The sequence below is a fragment of the Homo sapiens genome, chromosome 2 (genome assembly GCF_000001405.40).
Source record: "Homo sapiens chromosome 2, GRCh38.p14 Primary Assembly".
NCBI lineage: Eukaryota > Metazoa > Chordata > Mammalia > Primates > Hominidae > Homo > Homo sapiens.
The window spans coordinates 17,810,707-17,830,732 of NC_000002.12; the positions used below are offsets into that span (position 1 = coordinate 17,810,707).

The following is a 20,026-nucleotide window of genomic DNA, read 5'->3' on the forward strand; positions in this document are numbered from 1 at the left end:
TTTCTAGACTGAATTCCAAGTTCTCTTTGGCAGTGGTGTACCAAGGATGGGGGTGTTGGTGGGAGTGGGCTTCCCTAAAGAGGAGTCATTTTATTATTGTCATTGTTTAGAATTGCCACTACATGGTTATAATAAGATAAAGACCAACTTTTAGCCAAGCATTATCACTGTTTTAAAATTATATGTAGACAATACCTCCCTTTATTGCCTACACCAGAGGCTGAAGGTTCTCACCACCCATCCAGGGTACGCCACTACTCTGGTTCCATTAAAAAAGAAAGATTACATTTGAATGGAGGGATTTTGGTTTCTAAGCAGGGGGGACTTGAGGCCAAGAGAAAGTGGGAGTGATATATTTGTGGCTACTTGTATTGTGGCTCTAACTTCTCTTGACTCAAGGAACCAAGAATGTACCCAGCACAAGATTTTTGTTTGTTTGTTTTTTTGAGATGGAGTCTTGCTCTGTCACCAGGCTGGAGTACAGTGGCACGATCTCGGCTCACTGCAATCTCCGCCTCCCAGGTTCAAGTGATTCTCCTGCCTCAGCCTCCCAAGTAGCTGGGATTACAGGCACATGCCACCACACCGAGCTAATTTTGTATTTTTAGTAGAGACGGGGTTTCACCATGTTGGCCAGGATGCTCTCGATCTCCTGACCTCGTGATCCACCCACCTTGGCCTCCCAAAGTGCTGGGATTACAAGCATGAGCTACAGCACCCTGCCCCAGCACAAGATTAATAATTACAGCAACATTAGTTACCACACTTACAGTTTACAATGTGTAAACCTGCTAAAAGCGTGTACTCTATAAGGCAAGTATTAGTATTTCAATTGCACAGATGAAGATGAAGCTGAAGCTGAGAAAGATTGATTCATGTGTCCCAGGTCACAATAACAGAGGAGGAAATGTAAGATGTGACAGGTTTGACCTGGCTCCTATTCCTGCACTCTTGCCACTACCCCCATGTTCTATCTGTTCACCGATGTTCAAACAGCCACCAAAGTACTAAAAATGCTAACATTGCAGAGGAGGCACATCACAGGGGCTCCCAGGGCCACTGCTTGAGGAGGGTGCACCCTGCACAAAGGTGCTGGGCTGAAGAGGCAAGCAGGGCTGAAATAAGCCTTAGCTTGGTTGTTTTGTAATTTGCACAAAGGAGCCGTATGGGCTGGTAATGGCATGGAACCACCGGTGGCCACAGCTTAAGGAATTCCATCAGCCTCTTGATTTCTGTTTTCTGTCTATCCTTTGAGCACTATTTGCCAATTTCCTGGAAGTGGCTCTGCCTCAAGAAAGCTTCCTGGCTCTTAAATGTAGAGTTTACAATCCTCTGAGGCCAGTGTGAAATGCCCAGTTGTCCTGACTGTTGTCAGGAACATGACCAGCATTCCCTCAGAAGCTCATCATTCTGAAAATTAGACACAGACCACTTATTAATATGTATGGCAAATCTGGGATCCTCCTTAGTGAGTGTAGCTACAATAAAAAGGTCAATATGAAGGCCTGGGATTTGAGAGATGAAACAACCTGTACCTTTGTCTTATACTTTGGAAAATAGGACCTGAACATTTTTCAAGGTCTCTTGAGAGTGGGCCTCAAGGTTGGGGGCCTCTTTTCAATCTGTCACAGTCATAGTCACAATAGCTTATAAATATCTGTTGCTTGAATGACATTTGAAGTAAAATATTTATCCCAATAAATCAGTAATGTGGGAAATACGTAGTCTGCCTGATGTGAATACTTTGCAATTAGTCCTATTAGTTTCAAAGGAAGAAAAAGGACAGATATGGGAGGCAGGCAACTTTGGCTTTTCTCTTTCCATCTCTGCCACAGCCTTTGGGTATGACATTGAGCAAGTCATTCACCATGTGTAGAATGCAGATTTAAAGAAATGATGGACTCAATGATATCCCCAAATGCCTTCATGCTGGTACAGTGCTCTTTTAACCAAGCATATTCACATGGTAGTAACATGTTTCATGGCATTTTGTAGCTAGACGGGAGTTTAATGATCCCTTGGTACACCCTCCTCATGTAATGAATGCTCTTGATAAAGAAGACAGAGCAGGCTGGGCACGATGGCTTACTATAATCCCAGCACTTTGGGAGGTGGAGGCGGGTGGATTACTTGAGGCCATGAGTTTAGGACCAGCCTGGCCAACGTGGTGAAACCTTGTCTCTACTAAAAATACAAAAGTTAGCTGAGCATGGTGGCACACACCTGTAGTTCCAGCTACTTGGGAGACTGAGGCATGAGAACCACTTGAATCTAGGAGGCAGAGGTTGCAGTGAGCCTAGATGGTGCCACTTCACTACAGCCTGGGCCCTGCGTCAAAAAAAAAAAAAAAAAAGAAGAAGAAGAAGAACACAGGAAAAGTGTTATTACCTCCTTTTACGCACTAAAATACTTAGGCTGTGAGGGGTGAGTCACTTGCTCTAAAGGAGGCAAGTTCTGTCTCATCCTTCCACAACACCATGCTCTCAGCCAGATTTTACTGGGTCCAGTGTAAATTTTGCCTGTCTGGTCTAGCCTTATCCAGTGTTCTGTTGCTTTGTTCAAACTGGAGACAGAAAAGCACCAGCTAGTGTCTGCCTAACTATAGCCTTCGAATGTCTGTACTGCAGTGTTACATTGTCCTTGACTTTTATTTCCCTCAGATTGAGCACAGAATGCTTCTCAGATAGATGCAAGTCTGGTTCTGCTTTATTTCTTACCAAAGAGAGAGTGCACATCAAGAAACATGAAAACCAGGCAGCTTCCTTTCTCCAAGAATAGTTTCAGGGGCCAAGAAGGCTGGGAAACTGGGGTCAGGAGCAGAAGAGTCACAGCTCGGTAAGTCATTCTGTTGCTGGTGGGTTTGACAACACTCAGTCAATAACAATAATGACAAGAACTACATTTATTAAGTGTCTACAGTGCACTAAGGATTTGACAGATATTGTCTCATTTAGGAAACGAAATTTCTAAAAATGGAAGTTCAAGAAATTAGCAGTTTTAGAAAGAAGCTGTGGGAAAGGGAAAAAAGAGTTATGGAGTCTGAGAGCAGAAGCAGTGTTACGTGGAAAACTGTGAAGTTAGAACACAAGGATCGAGAGTCTGCCATGGCAGCGGCCCCCACAGCTGCCTTGTGTCCCCTGGGAGTTCCCTCTCTGAGTCACACTCAGGCCATCTGCCTCTACCACAACCCATGAAAGAGTGAAAATAGATTTTAAAAAAAGAAAGTGAGCTTTGGGGTCTGACAAGGAATCTTTGCTCTACCACTCCCTAGTGACTCTACCACTTCCTACCCGGGAAATCTTAACTGAGTTTCTTCACATCTGAGAGTCTCAGTATTTTCATCCATAACATGTTGGTCTTTTTGTTTTTTGTCTTTTTTAAAAAGAAGCTTAATCATATAAGTTCCTTGAACTCACACAAATCAGCAAGAAACAAACAAATAATTTCATCAAAAAGTGGGCACATGACATGAATAGACATTTCTCAAAAGAAGATATCCAAATGTCCAACAAACATGAAAAAATGCTCAACCTCACTAGTTATCAGGGAAATGCAAATTGAAACCACAACGAGATACTGCCTTGCCCCAGCCAGAATAGGTTTGTAATAAACAAAGTAAAAAAAAAAACCCAAATGTTGGCATGGATGTGGTAAAAAGGGAACACTTACATACTGCTGGTGGGAATGAAAAGTAGCACAACCTCTATGGAAAACAGGATGGGGATTTCTTAAAGAACTAAAAGTAGACCTACTATTTGATCCAGCAATCCCACTACTGGGTATCTACCCAAAGGAAAAGAAGTCATTCTATCAAAAAGACACCTACACGCATATGTTTACTTCAACACAATTCACAATTGCAAAGATACGGAACCAACTAAGTGCCCATCAACCAACGAGTGGATAAAGAAAATGTGATATATATACACCATGGAATACTACTCAGCCATAAAAAAAAGCCAATGAAATAATGTCTTTTACAGCAACTTGGATGAAGCTGGAGGCCATTATTCTAAGTGAAGTTACTCTGGAATGGAAAAATCAAATACCATATGTTCTTACTTATAAATGAGAGCTAAGCTATGGGCATGCAAAGGCATGCAGAGTGGTATAATGGATTTTGGAGACTCAGAAGGGGGAGGGTGGGAGGAGAGTGAGGGATATAAAAAACTACATATTGGGTACAATGTACACTACTCAGTTGACATGAGCACTAAAATCTCAGATTTCACCACTATACAACCCACCCATGTAACAAAAAAACATTTTACCCCAAAAGCTATTGAAATAAGAAAAATTAAAAAATATATAAAATTCCTTGCATAGTATCAGCAGATTCTGGGCTTCTCAACAAGAATTGGAAGAGAGAAGAGAGAGGAAAAAGGAGCAAGAGTCATTTGTTACATTTATTACAGTCATTAATATTATTATTTTTCAAAATCCGGCTTGGGGTTCTTCAGTAAATGGTAAAATTAAGAGCATTCTTCTACAGATTACCTACTTGAGATTTTTCTTCCTTGAGCCTTGCTAATTAAAAAATATCATAAATGTTCTAACTAGGCCATTGACATTTATTTTCAATAATTGCAAGGGGACTTAAATAACCTGTTAAAGGACATGTTAATATTACTCTACACTTTAACTCACTGCGACTTGATGTTAATACTAATTTGTAGAATTAGTTACATGGAAAATAAATTAAGTTCATGGGACAAATGGGGAATCTGAGATCCCTTTTCCAAAACCCAGGGTCTAGCAGAGCATATAGGAAGTGAAGCAAACTAGCACAACCATCCAACTTAACACATTCAGTGGCATTTGGAGCTGTGGTGGGGAAAAGAGGCTCCCTAGTTAATTTCACACTTCCTCCATACATTTCAAAAAGCAAGGTGTGACTCATTTCAAAAAACAAGGTGCAGCTGGGTTTGTTAAAAAAGACTTTCCTTAGGCTAAATGCCAGGTATTCTGCAAAGTCCCTGGCTTAAGGGAGTTTTCTGTTTCCTAGTATCTGTTTGCTGTGCGGAATCCAAATCTGCTCGGTAACAGCAAGGGTTTTATGCCTCTGGTAGGATGTTTCCTGCTCTTTAAGGCTCTAGGCTTACTGGAGTTGCTGGCCTTTGTCGTTCTGAGTGTAGGCATGTTCCGGGCATGTCTGCACTCTATACGACCCAGGGAAATTTACTAAGGTGGCATCCACTGGGTACCTCATGTGTGTGGCACCCCCAGCAACCCTAGGAAATAAGAGCTGTTGTTTTCTGTGTTGGACACATTAGGGAATCAAAGCCCAGAGGGGTTACCTTGTCCCTAGACCATGCTGCTTCTCCAACAATACAGCCCAACTGTGCTGAAATATCTAGCAGGTCCTGGTGGAGGGGATGGAGGCCCTCTCGGGTCACTTTGCTACTCTCCACCAGGGCCCTCGGCCACCCCCTCCTTGCTGCGGATGCCCCAGGTTTGTTTTCTTTGGCTCCCTCATTAATGAGTTCCACAGCACAATGCTAAGTCTAGTTATGCAGCCTTAATTGGTTTAGTTACAACAAGATAATTCCTTTTTTCTTCTCTTGGAGGCCTTTCTGTTTAAAGACATTTTAGCTGGAAGATGCTAATTATCAATGAGGAGAAAATGACACCTGAAGAGTTCATTTTCCATCTTGGTCTTTGGTTTTTCCTTTGAACTCTCTTTACACGGCCCTCTTTCCCACTTCATCACTTCTCCCCCACCGTCATAAAAGAGAGCTCTTCCCTGGCCAGGCGGCAGAATTTTCTTTCTCACTTGCCAGGGAGCCATTCCTTCTGCAGCTGTCTCGCAGGCATGGACAACCTGCGCGAGACTTTCCTCAGCCTCGAGGATGGCTTGGGCTCCTCTGACAGCCCTGGCCTGCTGTCTTCCTGGGACTGGAAGGACAGGGCAGGGCCCTTTGAGCTGAATCAGGCCTCCCCCTCTCAGAGCCTTTCCCCGGCTCCATCGCTGGAATCCTATTCTTCTTCTCCCTGTCCAGCTGTGGCTGGGCTGCCCTGTGAGCACGGCGGGGCCAGCAGTGGGGGCAGCGAAGGCTGCAGTGTCGGTGGGGCCAGTGGCCTGGTAGAGGTGGACTACAATATGTTAGCTTTCCAGCCCACCCACCTTCAGGGCGGTGGTGGCCCCAAGGCCCAGAAGGGCACCAAAGTCAGGATGTCTGTCCAGCGGAGGCGGAAAGCCAGCGAGAGGGAGAAGCTCAGGATGAGGACCTTGGCAGATGCCCTGCACACCCTCCGGAATTACCTGCCACCTGTCTACAGCCAGAGAGGCCAGCCTCTCACCAAGATCCAGACACTCAAGTACACCATCAAGTACATCGGGGAACTCACAGACCTCCTTAACCGCGGCAGAGAGCCCAGAGCCCAGAGCGCGTGAGCTCCATCCGGGGAAACTGACCGGTTCCAGCCTCCTGAGCAGGAGTAGAGGAGTTTTGAAGACCTGGATATCTTATTGAACAATGATCGGCGTAGAGTGATTTTTATGTAGTAAGCCTGATAATCTTGTGATCTGAAAAACCCTAAGGGAATTCACATGTAACCTGTTGGACCCACCAGAACACTTACCTGCCAGATGAGCAGAGACTTTCACCTCCAGTTTTTTCCACCCATCTGGGAGGCTCATCCTTTGCAAACAGACAGATTATTTTGCCCTTCTCTGTCTGTTCAAGGTATTTTAAAGGGTCAGTGATTTTAAATGCATTTTTTTCAATAATGTAAAAGTGTTAATCTCTTGCCATTTTGGCGTTGAGACCTTTTCTTCTGTTGCTAACAAAACCTGTATTTTGTATAGGATCCAGTGTGATATCTGGATTCTTATTTAGAAAGATTTGTGCCAAGTAAAGGGCTTTAGTGCTCCTGTTTTCATTTCGTGTGTATATGTGTGTGTGTTTGTGTTTGACTGAAATCATGCTGTTGCAGGGACCAAAATCACTTAAATGCGGAAGGCACTGGTGTCATGATAAATGGAAAGTCACAGGCAGACAGGCTAAGTTAAGACAGTGAAGATTCCAAAAGCCAGAGCCTCCTCTTCACAGGCAAACAGCTTGTGTGACAGGGAAGGAGGGTACGGGGAGGAGGAGGAGGAGACAGCACCTCAGGGTGGACCTGAAGCAAGGCTGGGTGGGCAGGGTCTCCCTGTCCTTTGTTCTGGGCCTGGTATGAACAGGACCTTATTTAGTCCTTTCACTTACCCGTTTGTCAAATAAAAAGACAGTCTCAGAAAAAAAAAAAAAAAAAAGTGATTCGAATCCCATAAAGAATAACTAAAAGGGTCAGTGTTAGAACTGAACAATCTCTGACCCCTCCAAAGGCATTTACTTCTTCATCTTCCCCTCCTATCCATCTGCCTCCCCCCAACTCCAGATCCCCCACATGCACCCATCACACACACACCCACTCTTCATGGTGCCTTGTCTTAGGGTGGGTATCTGTAGCACCCACAGTTTAGCTCATTTGAATGGCACAGGACATTGAAAAGGGGGCTTTGAATTAAGGAGGTTCTGAAAACTAGTGAGATTTTTTAAGGCTGAATTTTTCTCCCTATGGTTATTAACCATTAGTATTTGTTGTACATGTCTCCTATCATCTTTTTTCTATTGGTGATTTTGTTTTCTTTTTAGTGACATAAATTACAAAAGCAGTAGATGTGTTCTCTACTTCTCCATTTTTTTTTTGCTGATACAAACATATACAAATATATATAACTTGTCCATTTTTTTTGCTGATACAAACGTATACAAATAAATGTAAGCATACATAAATGTTAAAGAAAAAAACCTGAAAATTCCTTTTTTAACTTAACAATATACAGTACAAGTTCTTCCAAGTTAGCACAAATAAATCTGTGGTGTAAATACCATTATTACCTTCATTTTATAGATGGGGAAACAGATGCATGACTTGCTGAGTCACACATGCAAAAAGTATAACAGAAAACAGAGGTTCTAGCAAGGTTCCATAGAACAGATTCTGCAAAATTTCTTAAGCGAGTCACCTTTTCAATGATTTTTAAGTTATTTTCAGGTTTTTTATGACAAAAATGCTATAACAAAGGTTATAGACAACTAGCTTTATCTACTGATGTGTTCATTAGCTTGAAAAATTCCCAGAAATGGGATTATTGGATCAGAGTATGCACATTTTAAATTTTAATAAATAATGTTATGTCACTTCTATAAAAGTTTGTAGTTATGTATACTCCTCCTAGTATTATGTGACAGAACCAGTTGCCCCACATTTTCATTGGATACTATCAATTTTATGAATTTTTAATGGATAAAAATTGTTCATTGTTGTGTTAATTTTAACTTCCCTGTCTGTCATTTGAGGTGGAGCGTCTTTATTTTATGTGACCATTGTTCATTTTGGTTCCTCTTCTAAAACTTGCTAGTTTATAAATTTGCCATTTTTCTATTGCTTTATCTTCTTGTTAATTTGAGAGAGTTCTTTGTATATTATGTACTGGAATATTTCCTTCCAATCTTTTTATATTGTATTCTTTTTTCTTTTTTATTGATGCATAATATTTATTCATATTTATAGGGTACATTTGATATTTTGTTACATGCATAGAATGTGTAATGGTGTAATGATCTAGTCAGGGTATTTAGGTATTCATCACCTTGAATATTTATCATTTCAGGACTATTTCAAGTCCTTGCTTCTAGCTATTTTGAAATATACAATTCATTGTTGTTAATTATAGTCACGCTACTCTGCTATCTAACACTAGAATTTATTTATCTATCTAACTCTATGCTTATATCCATTAACCAACCTCTCTTTATCCCCTACCCACCCCTCCCGCCACCCACACTCCCTTCCCAGCCTCTGTTTCCTATCATTCTACTCTCTTTTTCCTTTCTTTTTTTCACTCTGTTGCCCAGGCTGAAGTGCAGTGGTGCGATGATAGCTCACTGCAGCCTCAAATTCCTGGGCTTAAGCGATCCTCTTGCCTCAGCCTCCTGAGTAGCTGGAACTATAGGTATGTGCCCCCATGCCTGGCTGATTTTTGTATTTTTTGTAGAGCATGTTGCCCAGGCTATCATTCTACTCTCTACCTCCATAAGATCAAGTTTTTTTAGCTCTCACATATGAGTGAGAACGTGCAATATTTATCCTTCTGTGCCTGGCTTATTTTACTTAACATATTGACCTCCAGCATATTTGTTTTGATGATGTCTTTTTTTCTTTTTTTCTGAGACGGAGTTTCACTCTTGGTGCCCAGTCTGGAGTGCAATGGCGTGATCTTGGCTCACTGCAACCTCCGCTTCCCAGGTTCAAGCAATTCTTCTGCCTCAGCCTCCCAAGTAGCTGGGATTACAGGGATGTGCCATCACGCCCAACTAATTTTGTATTTTTAGTAGAGATGGTTTCATCCTGTTGGTCAGGCTGGTCTCCAACTCCTGACCTCAGGCGATCTGCCCACCTTGGCTTCCCAAAGTGCTGGGATTACAGGCGTGAGCCACTGCGCCCGGTGATGATGTCTTATGATCTTGATTATGGCATCATTTTTTTTGAAGCTTTTCATTTTTATATGATCAAATTTGGTTTTTGTTTCATGGCTTATGTGTTTTTCTCCCTTGCTTAATTTTCCCCAGTTCCAAGGTTGTCCAAGTGTTCTCTTGATGTTTTGTAAATACTCTTACAGTTTTATTATTTATTTATGGGTCTTCAAAATACCTTTAATTCATTTTTGTCTATAGTGTGTGGAAGGAATCTAATTTTATTTCTGTGTAGCTTGTCATCAAGGATTGGTGGGTGGTGGTGAGGCACAGTTGCTAAGATGTCATTCTATGTATATAAACTTTCATCAGCTTCTCATATATTTGGTGTTTTAGAGAAAAAGCTAGAAAACATTGAACAATATGAAGACTTTCTCCAAGGAACTTTATCACATACATGTACAGGTGTTCATGTGAGAGCGTATGTGTGTGCACATATATACGTATTTGTTCACCTATGTATGTGTTCATGCATGTGTATGTGTGGGTTGTGTTTTTTGTGTTGGAGAAGGAGGAGGGTATTGGGGTAAGGGAGAACCAGCTGTTCTAAAAATCAACTTTCGGTTCAAATGCTATTTTCCTCACCGTTTTTAAATGAGTGGGACTCAAATGCTCTTGGCTTTGATTTTTCAAGCTCAAGTATTAACAATGGTTTATAAATAGCTTGGGCAATTTTGGTTGTCCTGGGCACCAAATACTGTGAATGAATTAGGAGGTATTTCCTGTCCTCAGTTTCAAAATATCCCTTAATGTCACAGACTCACCTATTAGCTGGGTATGCCCTCAGGACTTCTAAGGGACCCACTAGAGGGTAGGTGTCTGCAAAACCAGGAGAAGATGGCAGCTTCCTGGGAGGGGTCCTGTGGCCCAGAGCCTTGTCTCACCCACACCCCCTTCCTAGCCTCTGTTATCTATCATTCTACTCTCTTTTCCCACTGAGTCCTTCCCAGATTGCCAGGCTGCAACCACAACTGCTGTACACGATAGGCAGCTGTATATGAGTGTTTGACTCCTGCCAGTCCCCAGTGGAGTCGCCTCCCTTATCGGGAGGATAGCTGGAATAGGTCCCTCAATCCTCCAGGGAGTGTTTCAAAGCATCTGGCCTGGGCAAAGCTCAAGATTAGGAATAAGTTATTTCTGGTGCTTGGACAGGGAAAGGGTTGCAGAACCACAGTTCACATATGCCTACTCTGGTCAGTACTTCTACATTTATTATTTCATGTAACTCTCCTAACAACCCTAGGAGATGGGCATTATTTGTATTTTGAGGACCAGGAAATAAGTTTAGGCCAGTTAAGCTATGCAAAGCCACTTGGTCAGGTAGGGGCACATGTCTAATTAGTTAGCTAGTGAGTTCAGCTCTAACTCCAAACTTCAGGTTACTTCCCTCAGTCATGTCGCCTTCTTTTCTAGCTCACTCTGATGATGGCCTAGGCAAAGGGCTTGGCAGTGGGAGAGCATTCTAAACAAATGCTCACTCTTGGAGCCTCTCCACTTTTTCTCTGCTTCCCTACCTCTGGGCCCTCATCTTTCACCATCTGAAGCATTTCAGAAGGGACTATTTGTCTTGACCTTTAAATTATTTCCCTTTGAACTCCTGCCTCCACCCTGAATATTTTCTTAGAAATTCTCTTCACTTCCTCTGCTGGCGCCTAGAGTCTTTCTTAATCTGCAGAGGAAATCTGTCTTCTGTTCATTTGTGTTCAGTAAAGTGTTCCACAATTCACACCGGGCTGAGGTTTTTTTGTTCTGCTTGTAGTTTCTGCCACATTAGCTAATTGGGAGAGAGGCAAGGGAGAGAGGCCAAATCAGGGGTGGAGGGATTCTCTGCAAATTGTCAAGTCCACAGAATTACCCTTACATTAAAACCGTTGCTTTTTTTAAGCAACAGCAAAATAAGATGGGTAAGCAAATGCACTTGGGCTTCTAAGGTTATTACAATGGCTCAGTATGCTAGGTGCCTACACCAGGGTGTCATTAGATTCCTCTGACAATTCCTACACACTCCAGGCTGCAGGAGGAGCCTTGACTCTGTGGGCTCAGCCCACGCTGGCCAGACAGGAACCAGAGCCTGGTTCACTCCTTTCGCCCTCCTGCTAGGAACCTGAGACAGTCTCTCTCTTGCCAGTAAAACAGTGAAGCTGAAGCAGTGTCCTTCTTAGAGCAGCCTGGAAGGTCTTGATATTTTGGTCCCAGAGAGACCCTTGAATTCCGAGGAAGAAGAAAGCAGAAAAACTTCTGAGAAGGCTGGAGAAAAAAGACAATTATTTGTTTGTCTCTTGAGTTTGCCAACTATTGACCTTCTCTCCATTAGTTACGTTCTTCTCCACATGAATGCTACTGACTCGTGTTTCTTTTCATTAAATTAAGTGGGGAAGCCTGGCAGGGCTGGAGGTCAGGTCGCTGATGAGATAGAAGTATATTTAGAAAGCACAGCCATGGGCTGTTTCCAGTCCAGTAAACAGCAGTGTGGAACTGTCATCTGAGGTGTCAAGGCTCAGTGCCAAGGCCTCTATATGTGTTTTCTGCTTTAATCTTGATAGCTAATGCTACACAATAGCTAATATTAGCCCATTTTATAAATAAATAGGCTGAAAGAAAAAAAGTAATTATGTGCCCAGGGTCACATAATTGGGTGCAGAGCCCAGAGCCCAGAGCCCAGAGCCCAGAGCCCAGGTCTGCCTTTTTTTTTTTTTTTTTTGAGATGGGGTTTCACTCTGTTGCTCAGGCTGGAGTGCAGTGGTACAATCAAAGCTCACTGCAGCCTCAAACTTTTGGGCTCAAGCAATCCTCCTGCTTCAGTCCCCTGAATAACTGGGACTACAGGCACATGCCAACATGCTCGAATAATGCCTGACCCATTTCTTTAACAATACTAAGTCTATGGAACAGAAATGCAGCGGTGAACAAACAACAGAAAAGTTTCTACGTTTGTCTTTCCCCCGTCTATGCTCTCATCTGAAGAAGCTTTGTATTTGGTGTCCAAACATCTTATTAGGATTTCTATAAATGAGAGCATATTTTACATTGTGATACCCTTTACACTTTCTTCCCACATGGTATGGAACATGAATATTCTTTCATTCTCTCTGGCTCTGTCTATACTGGGTCTGTCTTTATGTTGGTTTAGAGATTACAAAGTATTTCCCATATGTTATCCTATTTAATTCTTACCTATACTTCACTATATATGAGGTTAAATGGAGATTGCTATGACCATTTTACAAATGAGATTAAGGTTTAGCATGACCTAATATCATAACTATTAGAGCTGGCACCAGAATCCAAGTTTTTAAACTTCTAATCAGGTTCCCAAGATTTTCCTGGGAAAACGTAAAAATGCTCTAAACTCTGCCCCCAAAGGGATCCTCAAAATGTGCTCCATGGTACATTTCTTTTTCTTTCTTTCAAGACAGGGTGATATGGCTTGGCTGTGTCCCCACCTAAATCTCATCTTGAATTGTAGCTCCCATAATTCCCACATGTCCTGGGAGGGACCTGGTGGGAGGTAATTGAATCATAAGGGCGGGTTTTTCCTGTGCTGTTCTTATGATAGTGAATAAGTCTCACAAATTCTGATGGTTTCATAAAGAGGAATTCCCCTGCACGTGCCCTCTTGCCTGCTGCCATGTAAGACATATCTTGCTTTCTTTCCCTTCACCTTCTGCCATGATTGTGAGGCCTCCCCAGCCATGTGGAACTGTGAGTCAATTAAACCTCTTTCTTTTATAAACTACCCAGTCTCCAGTGTTTTTTTTTTTTTTTTTCTGAGACAGAGGCTTGCTCTGTCACCCAGGCTGGAGTTCAGTGGCGCGATCTCAGCTCACTGCAAGCTCTGCCTCCTGGGTTCACGCCATTCTCCTGCCTCAGCCTCCTGAGCAGCTGGGACTAAAGGCGCCTGCCACCATGCCTGGCTAATTTTTTGTATTTTTTAGTAGAAATGGGGTTTCACCTTGTTAGCCAGGATAGTCTCGATCTCCTGACCTCGTGATCCGCCCACCTTGGCCTCCCAAAGTGCTGGGATTACAGGCGTGAGCCACTGCGCCCGGCCTCGAGTGTGTTTTTATTAGCAATGTGAGAAAAGACTAATACACAGGGTCTCGCTCTGTCTCCGACTGGAATGCAGTGATGCGATCAAGGCTCACTGCAGCCTTGGTCTCCTGGGTTCAAGAGGTCCTCCCACCTCAGCCTCCTGAGTAGCTGGGACTACAGGTGCACCAACACGCCTGGTTAATTTTTTTATTTAAAAGATATATTTTTTTTTACTTTCTTTTTGAGACTGAAGGAAATAATGTATACAGTGGTCCATCTCCAAGACAAAGTGCCTTGAATCGGCTTAGGTCAGCAAACTACAGAAGAAACAGGATATACAAGGCCCCTGCTTGGATAGTCGATGCCTACTTGTTGGCTTTCCCCTTCTTCCCCTCTCTGCTCCCCATTAGTTGCCCTTACCCAAACCAAAAAAAGTTTAGTTTAAAAGTTTACTAGCCTGCAAAATAGCTAATTTTGTCTGTTCCTATCAGCCTGCCCAGCTACTTAGGTCATAAGTCAAATACTTGAAAAGCCCCTAAGCTAACTAGAATTGCAATGCATTGTGGGCTGCAACAAAATGCAGCAAGACAACCCTAAAAACAAACAAACAAACAAACAAACACGCCTAAAGCCACTATGCAACAATCAATAGGTGACATCTGGGAAGATCGTGACCCCATAGTACTCAGCCTATGAGGAACCAGGGGAGGGACCTGTGCAGTAGGGGATAAATTGCTTGTTGAAATTGTGCTGGGTGTGCCTGCTCATCAGACACCTGATCTTGCAAGACCATCATTAAAAGTCTCACTTTCGCTGTTCTCCAGGTCTCTAAGTCCATTCTTTGGGTTTGGACAGGTGACTTTGTTTCTCACAAGACAAGTTCTCACTCTGTTGCCCATGCTGGAGTGCAGTGGCATGATCACAGCTCACTGCAGCCTTGACTTCCCAGGCTCAAGTGATCTTCCTACCTCAGCCTCCCAAGTAGCTGGGACTACAGGTGAGTGCCACCATGCCTGGCTAATTTTTGTATTTTTTGTAGAGATGAGGTTTTACCATGTTGCCTAGACTGGTCTCGAACTCCTGGGCTCAAGGGATCTGCCTGCCTTGGCATCCCAAAGAGCTGGGATTACAGGCATGAGCCACTGTGCCTAGCCAATTTTTTAATTGTATTTTTGTAGAGATGGGGTCCCACTATGTTGCTCAGGCTGGTCTTGAACTCCTGGGCTCAAGCAGTCCTCCCACTTCAGCCTCACAAAGTGCTGTGATTACAAGCGTGGGCCTGTTCTTCAGGGAGGACTTTGCATTGAACCTTCCTGAATTTTGAATCTAGTTAGTATGCACAGGTTAAATAATCAACGTCTTCATGTAGTGTAGTGTAGTGGAAATAGAAACCCCTTGAACAGAATTTTATTCCCCTTCACAATTCAAGAATTTGCATCCCCCAAGAGACCCCTATCTCTACTTTTACTGCATGTTTAATTTACTTCCTAAAAGAGAAAGTGATACTATTTAAATAATTTAAGTTCCAAGGATATTAGCCAACATCAAAAGACCTGATATGTTCTGTGGAGTGCTGAGAGACAGGCAGTGGGCTGAGGACCCAATCACTGCAACAAAGAATAAAGAAACATGATGATGGTAGGAGCTGCAAGACCAGAAAAGGGGGACAGGGAAGAAAATTGAGTCACATCTCAGCCTTGACTCTTCCAGTGGGCCTGGCATGGTGCTGTGCTGGATAAAGAGTTGCAGAGATGAGATGCTCACAGCCAAATGAGGGAGACACAGGTAAAGACATGACAGGAACCAATGCTCCCTGCAGGACTCAGGGAAAGCCTCACACAGAAGGAGGCTCTCGAAGTTGACCTCTGGGCACCTGAGGGAGCCAAAGGCATCCTCAGCTGAGGAAACTGCACTTGCAAGAGTGTGCAGGTCCAAAAAGGTTCCAGGGCTTGGGGCATCACATGGGCTGGTTTGGCTGGCACAGAGTGAGTTTGGAGGAGCAGGGAAAGGAGGGTTATGAGCAAGAGGAGTGTGAAGCTGGGGGCTTGAATAGCCTTCAAGCTGGGGAGAAGCTGACTCTCAACCTGAGAGAAGCCCCTCGCTCACTGGCTAACTCAGGTGCTTCTCAGTCTGGGTCCCCATCAACACACCTGCTGTAGGAAATAACATGCATGCAATGAGCAATTAAGATTGTGATCCACATGGCTCAATTAATACTCAAGTTTTTCCTTTCTAATTTTTTTTTTTAGAGAGTCTTGCTCTATTGCCCAGGCTGGAGTGCAATCACTCAATCTTGGTTCACTACAACCTCTGCCTCCTGGATTCAAGTGATTCTCCTGCCTCAGCCTCCCAAGCAGCTGAGATTATAGGCACTCACCACCAAGCCCAGCTAATTTTTGTATTTTTTGCAGAGACAGGCTTTCACCATGTTGGCCAGGCTGGTCTCAAACTCCTGACCCCAAGTAATCTGCCTTGGCCTTCCAAAGTGCTGGGATTACAGGTGTGAGCCACTGTGCCTGTCTCAAGTTTTTGTTTTACTTTTTACACTGTGCTTCTTTATATGTTCATAAAAGGAAACCCTGTCTTTAGCAGTAGCCTTTTCTTCATGTCTTCTTTTCTGAGCTCTGCAAACAATTTCTCCCCATTCTATCTTCATGACTCTCATTATTCACCCGTCACCTTTCCTTAGGTACCTGCACCCCATTGGCCCTGTTCTGCACCACACCTGGTGTCTCAGGCCCTTCCTGCTGCTGCAACAAAATACCCATGACTGGGTAATTTTATAAATAATAGACATTTATTTCTCACAGTTCTGGAGGCTGGGAAGTCCAAGATTAAGACACTAACATCCAGTGTCTGATGAGGGTGTTTTTGCTGTGTCCTTACATGGTGGAAGGCAGAAAGTAAAAAAGGGATGAATGGTGTGTGAACCTCTTTTATAAGACATTAATCCCATTCACTAGGGCAGAGTCCTCTGGCTTAATCATCTCCTAAATGTCCCATCTATCATATTGGTGACTGTGTTTCAACATATAAATTTTCGAGGACACATTCAGGCCATAGCACCTGCCCAGGACTACAGCTCTCCTTGAGGGAGGGAAGGTGGAGGAACTAAGCAGACAAAACCAGAATTCTCTTTTGTCGGCTAGGTTTACTCAAACAATGTCCATTCTATCACGCTTGCTGGGAGCACGGCAGCTCTGTGCTGCCTCGGCATGCGTTTAAGAGCCCTTTTGTTCTTTTAATTACCTAGACATTGCAGATTATTAACCATATGAGTAGCTAGCTCAGTGCTAGGCCTTGGAGTAACAAAGGGGCAGAGGGTGACTAAGATGCTGCAGATTTCTTTATTTAGAGACAAGGTCTTTCTCTATCACCCAGACTTCAGTCCAGTGGTGCAATCTTAGCATACTGCAGCCTCAGACACCTGGGCTCTAGTGATTCTCCTGCCTCAGCCTCCTGAGTAGCTGGGACTACAGACACATGCCACCATGTCTGGTTAATTTTTAAATTTTTATTTTGTAGAGACAGGAGTTTCACTTTGTTGCCCAGGCTATCCTCAAACTCCTGCTCTCAAGCGATCCTCCCACCTCAGCCTTCCAAAGTGCTGAGATTACAGGCATGAGCCACTGTGCCCAGCAATGCCGCCCATTTATTTTTTTTATGTTTTTGTTTCTTTTTCAATGCTGCAGATTTAAACACAAGCAGCATTGTTTTCTTTTTTAACCCATGTGATTGTGTTTAATCCTCTTAATAACCTTGTGATGGCAAAGTGCAGCTTCTGTTCTCAAAAAGCTTAAAATGTAGTTGAGGGAGCTAGGCCTATACATAATGATCAAAATACAGGCACAAAGAGAAGGAATAATAATTTTTAAAAGGTATCTAAAATGCATTAGGAATCAGGGATGGTTCTATGATTTGTATGGATATGTCCTTCCAAAATTCATATGTTAAACCTTAATCTCCAATGTGATAGTATTAAAAGGTGGGGACCTTTAGCAGGTGATTAAATCATAACAATGGGGCACTCATGAATAGGATTTGTGACCTTACCAAAGAGGTTCAAGGGAGCTGTTTGCCTTTTTTTGTCCTTCCCACCATGTGAAGGGGATAACATTTAAGGTATCATCTTGGAAGCAGCGGTGAGGTCCTCCCCAGGCACTGAACCTGCTGGTGCCTTGATCTTAGACTTCTCAGCCTCTGTAACTACGAGCAATACATTTATGCTATTTATAAATTACCCAGTCTAAGGTATTTTCTATTGCAGCAGGAATGAACTAAGACAGATGGAGAGAGGCTTTCTGTTTAGTGGGGCACCTGGCTTTGGGGAGGAGCTGGTATTGAACCTGAACCTAGATAGATAACTCGGATCCTGACACAGGAACGGGGCATTTCAAGTTACAGAGCAGCAAGAGTAAAGGAACAAGCCAGGAATCTGCTTATATTAGTCTGTTCTCATGCCAAAGAGTGGGTAATTTATAAAGGAGAGAGGTTTAATTGACTCACAGTTCAGCATGGCTGGGGAGGCCTCAGGAAACTTACAATCACGGCAGAAGGGGAAGCAAACATGTCCCTCTTCACATGGCAGCCGGAGAGAGAAGAATGAGAGCCTGGCAAAGGGGGAAGCCCCTTATAAAACCATTAGATCTCATGAGAACTATCTATCATGAGAACAAGATGGGGGAAACCACCCCCATGATTCAATTATCTCCACCTGGTGCCTCCCACCACACATGGGGATTATAGGAACTACAATTCAAAATGAGATTTGGGTGGGGACACAGCCAAACCATATCAATGCTGTAGGGATGAGCAATGAGACATAGAGGGGAAGAATGAGTTTGGGTACAGATTCTCAAGGGCTGGAACATGAAGCTAAGGGGATGAATTTAGCAAATATCTTTGTGTTCGGCTCCTTCTGTGAGAAGGACAAATTTATTCACTGAATGGGAATTCACAAACTGATAGCATGTTTCTTAGCCTGTGCTTGGTTCCTGAGAGAGATATAGGGTCCCTGCCCTCTGGAGGTTTATACTACAGGCATGGAAGGATTCAGTTCTATAATTGATTAGAGAGGAGTATGGTTTCAACAGTGAGTTCACTCCAAAGTTTGGGAATGGAGGAATGTTCTCAGGGATTGGAAGTGCAGAAGGAGGGATTTAGGGGTTACAAAAGAAACTGAGGCTAGAAGGGTGGGAAGAGAGAAGGTAGGGAATTCCTAATGGAACTATAGAGTAGGGTGAAAGGGCAGGAGAAGCCGTGAGAAAGCAAGCTGGGTCCTGCTTCAAAAGCTCTTGAAGAGCCAGTGCAAAAGACAGCATTTCCAGATTCTGATCAGCCCCCGAGCATTCTGTTCTGGAAGGTTCACTTCAGTGCATAACCGGCACAGCCTAACACCTCCAGCAAGGCTGCGAGGTAGACATCACCATCTCCATTTTACAGATGGAACAACGATGCACAGAGAAGTGAGGTGAATTTCCCAGGGCTCCTGCCTAGTAAAGGGCTATTTGGTTTCAGAGCTTCTCCGAGACCCCTCAGAGGCACTGCCCTCATTCAGGTAAAGACCCCGAACATAGAAGGTACAGAAGGAGGATGTACATACGAGGAATGATTCCTTGGGAGGCTTTTGAGCACAGGTACTATCTGTGATTAACACTTAAAGATTATATACTCCACCAGTGGGAGGGAAGAGACAGACTCATTTCCCCATTCACGGCTAATGGACGTATGGCAGTGCAGATGCCTCTGCATTTTGATTGGTTTTCTCATATAGGGGAATAACTTTTCAAAGATCCCAGAGGTTCAAATATGGATATAAAAGCAATTTTATATCCAATAATATGCTCTAGTTACCTCTGTGGAGTTTAGCCACTGCAAAAGAGGCCCTTTGAGTCCTTCCTACTCCGGTGCTCCCCTGCCAAGCCCTCTCCTAGCAGGTGAGCGTCTGAGGCCTCCTGGAGCCCACTTTTCACCCTTTAATGAGGCTGGAGGCGCCAAAGTGCGCCCCTGGGGGCCAGAGGGCCAGAGGCTGGGTCATAAAGGGCTCTAGTTAAAAGAGGCAAAAGGTGCCAGAGAAACACTAGGGCCTTGTTTTTGTTTGTTGGTTGTGCATTTTAATTACTGGGAAGGAATAATTGAGCTTCCACTTCTGAGGCGGGGGCTGGTCTAACAAACTCGAGGACCCTTAGCAATTGGGCAGCGCGAGGTCTCTGCTCCCACCTGCAGAGGACACAGGTACCCGAAGCAGACGCTAGTTCCCCAACTTTTTGAAGCCCCTGCTCATCCTATTTGAGAACAGAGGCTATATATTCTGTGAGGAGTTGCCTGTAAGTTTCCCCAGCCACCAGGCGTTCAGTCACTGGCTGCAGATCCCGCAACCCTCGGGTGTTCAAGTGCGCGGGGTGGTGCGGGCGCTCCCGCAGTCCGCGCTTGGCTCGTGGGAGGCCTCGGGCGCCCCCTCCAGGATTCCGTGC

At 43.7% G+C, this 20,026-nt stretch overlaps 1 protein-coding gene across 1 annotated transcript, besides 7 other annotated features; it reads left to right on the forward strand.

Moving 5' to 3' along the window:
- Window positions 5,082-5,211: an enhancer, noted in NCBI's record as "active region_15353". NCBI's record gives its function as "activates an Ori minimal core promoter by ATAC-STARR-seq in GM12878 lymphoblastoid cells {active_cell/tissue: GM12878}" and the evidence as "EXISTENCE:reporter gene assay evidence [ECO:0000049][PMID:35858748]".
- On the forward strand, window positions 5,754-7,092 carry MSGN1 (mesogenin 1). Its single transcript, NM_001105569.3, has one exon. It carries the CDS (start codon window positions 5,813-5,815, stop codon window positions 6,392-6,394), a length of 582 nt encoding a protein of 193 aa, NP_001099039.1. The 5' UTR covers window positions 5,754-5,812; the 3' UTR covers window positions 6,395-7,092.
- Window positions 11,415-11,464: an enhancer, noted in NCBI's record as "active region_15354". NCBI's record gives its function as "activates an Ori minimal core promoter by ATAC-STARR-seq in GM12878 lymphoblastoid cells {active_cell/tissue: GM12878}" and the evidence as "EXISTENCE:reporter gene assay evidence [ECO:0000049][PMID:35858748]".
- Window positions 11,535-11,584: an enhancer, noted in NCBI's record as "active region_15355". NCBI's record gives its function as "activates an Ori minimal core promoter by ATAC-STARR-seq in GM12878 lymphoblastoid cells {active_cell/tissue: GM12878}" and the evidence as "EXISTENCE:reporter gene assay evidence [ECO:0000049][PMID:35858748]".
- Window positions 11,635-11,684: an enhancer, noted in NCBI's record as "active region_15356". NCBI's record gives its function as "activates an Ori minimal core promoter by ATAC-STARR-seq in GM12878 lymphoblastoid cells {active_cell/tissue: GM12878}" and the evidence as "EXISTENCE:reporter gene assay evidence [ECO:0000049][PMID:35858748]".
- Window positions 16,404-17,101: an enhancer, noted in NCBI's record as "OCT4-NANOG hESC enhancer chr2:18008377-18009074 (GRCh37/hg19 assembly coordinates)". NCBI's record gives its function as "activates a minimal SCP1, AML or CMV promoter by ChIP-STARR-seq in naive H9 embryonic stem cells {active_cell/tissue: H9 hESC(naive)}" and the evidence as "EXISTENCE:reporter gene assay evidence [ECO:0000049][PMID:30033119]".
- Window positions 19,255-19,755: an enhancer, noted in NCBI's record as "H3K4me1 hESC enhancer chr2:18011228-18011728 (GRCh37/hg19 assembly coordinates)". NCBI's record gives its function as "activates a minimal SCP1, AML or CMV promoter by ChIP-STARR-seq in primed H9 embryonic stem cells {active_cell/tissue: H9 hESC(primed)}" and the evidence as "EXISTENCE:reporter gene assay evidence [ECO:0000049][PMID:30033119]".
- Window positions 19,753-19,882: a silencer, noted in NCBI's record as "silent region_11191". NCBI's record gives its function as "represses an Ori minimal core promoter by ATAC-STARR-seq in GM12878 lymphoblastoid cells {active_cell/tissue: GM12878}" and the evidence as "EXISTENCE:reporter gene assay evidence [ECO:0000049][PMID:35858748]".